The sequence below is a fragment of the Homo sapiens genome, chromosome X, assembly GCF_000001405.40.
Source record: "Homo sapiens chromosome X, GRCh38.p14 Primary Assembly".
NCBI lineage: Eukaryota > Metazoa > Chordata > Mammalia > Primates > Hominidae > Homo > Homo sapiens.
In genome coordinates this window covers 107,952,487-107,961,232 of record NC_000023.11, presented here as the reverse complement: position 1 = coordinate 107,961,232, position 8,746 = coordinate 107,952,487, and the positions used below count along the sequence as shown (strand labels likewise).

The following is an 8,746-nucleotide window of genomic DNA, read 5'->3' as shown; positions in this document are numbered from 1 at the left end:
ACTGTTCACAACAGCCAAGATTTGGAAGCAACATTAAGTGTCCATCAACAGACAAATGGATAAAGAAAATGTACATATCACAATGTAGTACTACTATTCAGCCACGAAAATGAAAAGAGATCCTGTCATTTGCAACAACATGGATGGAATGGGAGGTCATTATGTTAAATGAAATAAGCCAGACACAGAAAGACAAACATCACATGTTCTCATTTACTATGGGATCTAAAAATTAAAACAATTGAATTCATGGAGATAGAGGGCAGAAGAATGGTTACCAGAGTCTGGGAAGTGAAGGTGGTTAATGGGTACAAAAAAATTGATAGAATGAATAAGATCTAGTATTTGATAGCACAACAGGCTGACTATAGTCAATAGCAATTTAATTATACTTTTTAAAATAACTAAAAGAGTATAATTGGATTGTTTGTAACACAAAGGGTAAATGCTTGAGGTAATGAGTACCCTATTTAATCTGATGTGATTATTAAGCATTGCATGCCAGTATCAAAATATCTCATGTGCCTGATAAAAATATACACCTACTATGTACTTGCAAAAATTAAACATTAAGAAAAACAAATAAAAAACAAAAATAATTAAGATGAAATTAATAATTACTGAAATAGAAAACAAACAATAATAGAACCATGGAGTAGATGGATAAGAGGAAATAATATTTATTTGAAAAGATTAATAGAATACAAAAGTTTTTGGCAAGTATGATTTCAAAAATAAAGAAGGCACAAATTAACATTAAAAAATAAAGGGTATAATGTGGGTCGGCCTGATACTATCAATTGAAGGCTTTAATGGAACAAAGACTAATCTCCCCCAAGCAAGAAGGAATTTTGGAGTACAGACAAGATGGCCAAATAGGAACAGCTCCGGTCTGCAGCTACCAGCGAGACCAATGCAGAAGGCAGGTGATTTCTGCATTTCCAACTGAGGTACTCAGTTCATCTCAATGGGACTGGTTAGGCAGTGGATGCAGCCCACAGAGTGCAAGCAAAAACAGGGTGGGGCATCACCTCACCCAGGAAATGCAAGAATCCAGGGGACCTCCCTTCCCCAGCCAAGGGAAGCCATGAGGAACTGTGCTACCCGGCCCGGATACTACGTTTTTTCCCCATGGTTTTTGCAACCTGCAGATCAGGAGATTCCCTCATGTGCCTACACCACCAGGACCCTGGGTTTCAAGCACAAAACTGGGCAGCTGTTTGGGCAGACACCAAGCTAGCTGCAGGAGTTTTTCCATATCCCAGTGGCGGCTGGAACCTCAGTGAGACAGAACCATTCACTCCCCTGGAAAGGGGGCTGAAGCCAGGGAGCCAAGTGGTCTCTCTCAGCGGGTCCCACTCCCATGGAACCCAGCAAGCTAAGAACCACTGGCTTGAAATTCTCGCAGCTGGCACAGCAGTCTGAAGTCAACCTGGGACAATCTAGCTTGGTGCAGGGAGGGGTGTCCGCCATTACTGAGGCTTTAGTATTCAGTTTTCCGCTGACACTGCTAAGGAGGCTGGGGGATTTGGGCTGGGCGGAATTTACCACAACGTGGCAAAGTGGCTGTGGCCAGACTGCTTCTCTAGATTCCTCCTCATGGGGCAGAGCATCTCTAAAGTAAAGGCAACAGCCCCAGTAAGGGGCTCATAGATAAAACCCCTATCTCCCTAGGACAGAGCACCTGAGGGAAGGGGTGGATGTGGGTGCATTTTCAGCGGACTTAAACTTTCCTGCCTGCCGGCTCTGAAGAGAGCAGCTGATCCTGACGAGGATTCTCCCAGCACAGCACTCGAGCTCTGCTAAGGGACAGAACTGCCTCCTGAAGTGGGTCCCTGATGCCCATGCCTCCTGACTGGGAGGGACCTCCCAACAGGGGTCAACAGACACCTCATACAGGAGAGCTCTGGCTGGCATCAGGCCTGTGTCCCTCTGGGACGAAGCTTCCAGAGGAAGGAGTAGGCAGCAATCTTTGCTGTTCTGTGGCCTCCACTGGTGATACTGCTGTTCTGCAGCCTCCACTGGTGATACCCAGTTGAAGAGGGTCTGAAGAGGACCTCCCACAAACTGCAGCAGACCTGCAGAAGCGAGGCCTGACTGTGAGAAGAAAAACTAACAAACAGAAAGCAAAAGCATCAACATCAACAAAAAGGACCCCCACACAAAAACCCCATCCAAAGATTATCAACCTCAAAGATCAAAGGTAGAAAAATCCACAAAGATGAGGAAAAACTGGCGAAAAATGCTGAAAATTCCAGAAACCAGAATGCCTCTTCTCCTCCAAATGATCACAACTCCTCTCTAGCAAGGGCACAAAACTGGATGGAGAATGAGATTGACAAACTGACAGAAGTAGGCTTCAGAAGGTGGGTAATAACAAACTACTCTGAGCTAAAGGAGCACGATCTAACCCAATGCTAAGAAGCTAAAAACCTTGATAAAAGGTTACAGGAATTGCTAACAATAATAACCAGTTTCGAGAAGACCATAAATGATCTGATGGACCTGAAAAACACAGCATGAGAACTTCGTGAAGCATACACAAGTATCAATAGCTGAATCAATCAAGCAGAAGAGAGGATATCAGAGATTGAGGATCAACTTACTGAAATAAGGAGTGAAGACAAGATTAAAGAAAAAAGAATGAAAAAGAACAAACAAAACCTCCAAGAAATATGGGACTATGTGAAAAGACCAAACCTACGATTGATTGGGGTCTCTGAAACTGATGGGGAAAATGGAACCAAGTTGGAAAACACACTTCAGGATATGATCCTGGAGAACTTCCCCCACCTAGCAAGACAGGCCAACATTCAAATTCAGGAAATACAGAGAACACTATTAAGATACTCTTCGAGAAGAGCAATCCCAGACACATAATCATCAGATTCCCCAAGGTTGAAATGAAGGAAAAAATGTTAAGGGCAGCCAGAGAGAAAGGTCAGGTTACCTACAAAAGGAAGCCCATCAGACTAACAGCTGATCTCTCTGCAGAAACTCTACAAGCCAGAAGAGAGTGGGGGCCAATATTCAACATTCTTAAAGAAAATAATTTTCAACCCAGAATTTCGTATCCAGCCAAACTAAGCTTCATAAATGAAGGAGAAATAAAATCCTTTACAGACAAGCAAATGCTGAGAGATTTTGTCACCACCAGGCCTGCCCTAAAAGAGCTTCTGAAGGAAGTACTAAACATGGAAAGGAACAACCGGTACCTGCCACTGCAAAAACATGCCAAATTGTAAAGACCGTCGATGCTAGGAAGAAACTGCATCAACTAACGGGCAAAATAAAGAGCTAGCATTATAATGACAGGATCAAATTCACACATAACAATATTAACCTTAAATGTAAATGGGCTACCAGACTGGCAAATTGGATAAAGAGTCAAGACCCATCAGTGTGCGGTATTCAGGAGACCCATCTCATGTGCAAAGACACACATAGGCTCAAAATAAAGGGATGGAGGAATATTTACCAAGCAAATGGAAAGCAAAAAAAAGCAGGAGTTGCAATCCTAGTCTCTGATAAAACAGACTTTAAACCAACAAAGATCAAAAAAGACAAAGAAGGGCATTAAATAAGGGTAAAGGGATCCATTCAACAGGAAGAGCTAACTATCCTAAATATATATGCACCCAATACAGGAGCACCCAGATTCATAAAACAAGTTCTTAGAGAGCTACAAAAAAACTTAGACTCCCACACAATAATAGTGGGAGACTTTAACACCCCACTGTCAATATTAGACAGATCAATGAGACAGAAAATTAACAAGGATGTTCAGGACTTGAACTCAGCTCTGGACCAAGCAGACCTAATAGACATCTACAGAACTCTCCACCCCAAATAGACAGAATATACATTCTTCTCAGCACCACATAGCACTTATTCTAAAATCGACCATATAACTGGAAGTAAAACACTTCTCAGCAAATGCGAAAGAACAGAAATCATAACAAACAGCCTCTCAGACTGCAGTGCAATCAAATTAGAACTCAGGATTAAGAAATTCACTCAAAACCTCACAACTACATGGAAACTGAACAACCTGCTCCTGAATGACTACTGGGTAAATAACGAAATTAAGGCAGAAATAAAGAAGTTCTTTGAAACCAATGAGAACAAAGACACAACATACCAGAATCTCTGGGACACAGCTAAAGCTGTGTTAAGAGGGAAATTTATCGTACTAAACGCCCACACTGGAAAGCTGGAAAGATCTGAATTCGACACCTGAACATCACAATAAAAGAACTAGAGAAGCAGCCGGGCGCGGTGGCTCATGCCTGTAATCCCAGCATTTTGGGAGGCTGAGGCAGGCAGATCACAAGGTCAGGAGATCAAGACTATCCGGGCTAACACAGTGAAACCCCGTCTCTATTGAAAATACAAAAAAATTAGCCGGGCATGGTGGCAGGCGCCTGTAGTCACAGCTACTCAGGAGGCTGAGGCAGGAGAATGGCATGAACCCGGGAGGTGGAGCTTGCAGTGAGCCGAGATCATGCCACTGCACTCCAGCCTGGGCGACAAAGCAAGACTCCACTTCAGAAAAAAAAAAAAAAAAAAGAACTAGATAAGCAAGAGCAAACAAATTCAAAAGCTAGCAGAAGACAAGAAATAACTAAGATCAGAGCAAAAGAGAAGGAGATAGAGACACAAAAAACCCTTCAAAATATCAATGAATCCAGGAGCTGGTTTTTTGAAAAGATTAACAAAATAGATTGACCACTAGCCAGCCTAATAAAGAAGAAAACAGAAGAATCAAATAGACACACTAAAAAATGATAAAGGGGATATCACCACTGATCCCACAGAAATACAAACTACCATCAGAGAGTACTATAAACACCTCTATGCAAATAAACTAGAAAATCTGGAAGAAATGGATAAATTCCTGGACATATACACCCTCCCAAGACTGAACCAGGAAGAAGTCGACTCCCCGAAAAGACCAATAACAAGTTCTGAAATTGAGGCAATGATTAATAGCCTACCAACCAAAAGAAACCCAGGACCAGATGAATTCACAGCCAAATTCTACCAGAGGTACAAAGAGGAGCTGGTACCATTCTCTCTGAAACTATTCCAAACAATAGAAAAAGAGAGACTTTTTCATAACTCATTTTATGAGGCCAGCATCATCCTAATACCAAAACCTGGCAGAGATAGAACAAAAAAGAGAAAATTTCAGGCCAATATCCCTGGTGAAGATCAATGCGAAAATCCCCAATAAAATACTGGCAAACCGAATGCAGTAGCACATCATGAAGCTTATTCATCACGATCAAGTTGGTTTCATCCCTGGGATGCAAGCCTGGTTCAACATATGCAAATCAATAAACATAACCCATCACATAAACAGAATCAATGACAAAAACCACGATTATCTCAACAGATGCAGAAAAGGCCTTTGATAAAATTCAACATCCCTTCGTGCTAAAAACTCTCAATAAACTAGGTACTGATGGAATATATCTCAAAATAATAAGAGCTATTTATGACAAACCCATAGCCAATATCATACTGAATGGGCAAAAGCTGGAAGCAGCCCCTTTGAAAACAGGCATAAGATAAGCATGCCCTCTCTCACCACTCCTATTCAACATAGTACTGGAAGTTCTGACCAGGGCAATCAGGCAAGAGAAAGAAATAAAGGGTATTCAGTCAGGAAAAGAGGAAGTCAAATTGTCTCTGCTTGCAGATGACATGACTGTATATTCAGAAAGCCCCATTGTCTCAGCCCAAAAACTCCCTAAGCTGATAAGCAACTTCAGCAAAGTCTCAGAATACAAAATCAATGTACAAAAATCACAAGCATTCCTGTACACCAATAATAGACAAGCAGAGAGCCAAATCATGAGTGAACTCCCATTCACAAATTGCTAAAAAGAGAATAAAACACTTAGGAATATAGATGTGAAGGACCTCTTCAAGGAGAACTACAAACCACTGCTCAAGAAAATAAAAGAGGACACAAACAAATGGAAAAATATTCCATGCTCATGGATAGGATAAATCAATATCATGAAAACAGTCATGCTGCCCAAAGTAATTTATAGATTCCATGCTATTCCCATCAAGCTACCATTTACTTTCTTTGCAAAATTAGAAAAAAACTACTTTAAATTGCATATGGAACCAAAAAAAGAGCCTGTATAGCCAAGACAATCCTAAGCAAAAAGAACAGAGCAGAAGGCATCAGGCTACACAACTTCAAACTATACTACAAGACTACAGTAACCAAAGCTGCATGGTACTAGTACCAAAACAGATATATAGACCAATGGAACAGAATAGAGACCTCGGAAGTAAGAGCACACATCTACAATCATCTGATCTTCAACAAACCTGACAAAAACAAGCAATGGGGAAAGAATTCCCTATTTAATAAATGGTGCTGGGAAAACTGGCTAGCCATATGTAGAAAGCTGAAACTGGACCCTTTCCATACACCTTATACAAAAATTAACTCAAGATGGATTAAAGACTTAAATGTAAAACCAAAAAGCATATAAACACTAGAAGAAAACCTAGGCAATACCATTCAGGACATAGGCATGGGCAAACACTTCATGGCTAAAACACCAAAAGCAATGGCAACAAAAGCCAAAATTGACAAATGGGATCTACTTAAACTAAAGAGCTTCTGCACAGCAAAAGAAACTATCATCAGAGTGAACAGGCAACCTACAGAATGGGAGAACATTTTTGCAACCTATCCGTCTGACAAAGATCTAATATTCGGAATCTACAAGAACTTAAACAAATGTACAAGAGAAAAAACAACCCCTTCAAAAAGTGGGCAAGGGATATGAACAGACACTTCTCAAAAGAAGACATTTATGTAGCCATCAAACATATGAAAATAAGCTCATTATCACTGGTCATTAGAAAAATGTAAATCAAAACCACAGTGAGATACCATCTCACACTAGAATGGCGATAATTAAAAAGTCAGGAAACAACAGATGCTGGAGAGGATGTGGAGAAATAGGAATGCTTTCACACTATTGATGGGAGTGTAAATCAGTTCGACCATTGTGGAAGACAGTGTGGTGATTCCTCAAGGATCTAGAACCAGAAATACCATTTGACCCAGCAATCCCATTACTGGATATATACCCAAAGTATTATAAATCATTCTACTATAAAGACACATGCACACATATTTTTATTGCAGCACCATTTACAATAGCATAGATTTGAACCAACCCAAATGCCCATCAATGATAGACTGGATAAAGAAAATGTGGCACATATACACATGTGGAAAATGTAGCACATATACACATGGAATACTATACAGCCATAAAAAGAATGAGTTCATGTCCTTTGCAGGGACATGGATGAACCTGGAAACCATCATTCTCAGCAAACAAACACAGGAACAGAAAACCGAACACCACATGTTCTCACTCATAATGGGAGTTGAACAATGAGAACACATGGACACAGGGAGGGGAACATCACACACCGGGGCCTGGCAGGGGTTGGGGGGAAAGGGAGCAAGATAATTAGGACAAATACCTAACACATGCGGGGCTTAAAACCTAGATGACAAGTTGATAGGTGCAGCAAGCCACCATGGCACATGTATACCTATGTAACAAACCTGTATGTTCTGCACATGTATCCCAGAACTTAAAGTAAATTTTATTTAAAAAAGAATCAATGGAAATGCAGAAAAGATCAGTGAAAATATGAACTGGCATAATTATCAATTTGATTGCCACATATGTCTTCTAAGTGTTTCACTTTCTATTCTGCTACTGCAAAAGTTTGTGTCAGAATCTATTTAAAATAAATACAACACATAATCTCAAAAAACTGAAAGGGGACCAAACTACAGAAAGAGACTATACCAAAAAATTATTTTAGGAATACTGTATAACTTTTACACCAATAACTTTGAAAATCTAGGTGAAATGGATAATTTCTAGGAAAATTAGTCCAAGAATTGGCCTAAGAAATAGAATACTTAAATAAACCTATTAATCACATTAGAATGTATAATGATAATCAAGAATCTACCTTAAAAGTCACCATTTCCAGAAATTTTGTGGGTGTTTGACAAAACCATCTAGGAACAGATTAATGAAACTTTCCAAACATTTTTTCCATATTAAAAAAATGGTAAATGACACCACACAGCTATAAGGCTGGTATAATCTTGATACCAAAACTGACAAGTAAAGGGAAAGAAAATTATAGCCCATCTCACATATGAACCTTGATATAAAAACGTATAACCTTGATACAAAAATTGGAAAAGCACAAGAGAACTACGGGCCAGCATTTTTCATAAGAGTGCTAATAGCATTTTTGTTGAGACAGTTCTTCATTTAGCAACCCCAGTCACCATTTACCCAATTGTAGTAGGACTCCCCCAACTCACACACTTAATAAACTGACAACCAAAAGCACCTCCAGATATTTCCAAATGCCTTCTTGAGGGGTAATTTTGCCAATTGAGGATCAATGCTATAGGCAATCTCATGTATAAACACAGATTTTTTAAAATGGCAGATAAAATACTAGTCATTCAAATCCTGCAGTAGATTTAAAAAGATACATTATGCCCCAATAGGCTAATCCTAGGACTGCAGGGAAGGTTTAACATTTAAAGATGTGTCAACGTGGAACAGGGTACTAACTCCTTACTTGGAAAACTGGCAATTAAAGGGAAAGAGTTAAGAATTTACCGTGTCTTTCCCATAGAAACTGTATTTTAGGCTTACCAAAT

At 39.8% G+C, this 8,746-nt stretch overlaps 1 annotated feature.

Annotated features, from left to right (window-relative positions):
• Positions 753-1,252: an enhancer, noted in NCBI's record as "H3K27ac hESC enhancer chrX:107203211-107203710 (GRCh37/hg19 assembly coordinates)". NCBI's record gives its function as "activates a minimal SCP1, AML or CMV promoter by ChIP-STARR-seq in naive H9 embryonic stem cells {active_cell/tissue: H9 hESC(naive)}" and the evidence as "EXISTENCE:reporter gene assay evidence [ECO:0000049][PMID:30033119]".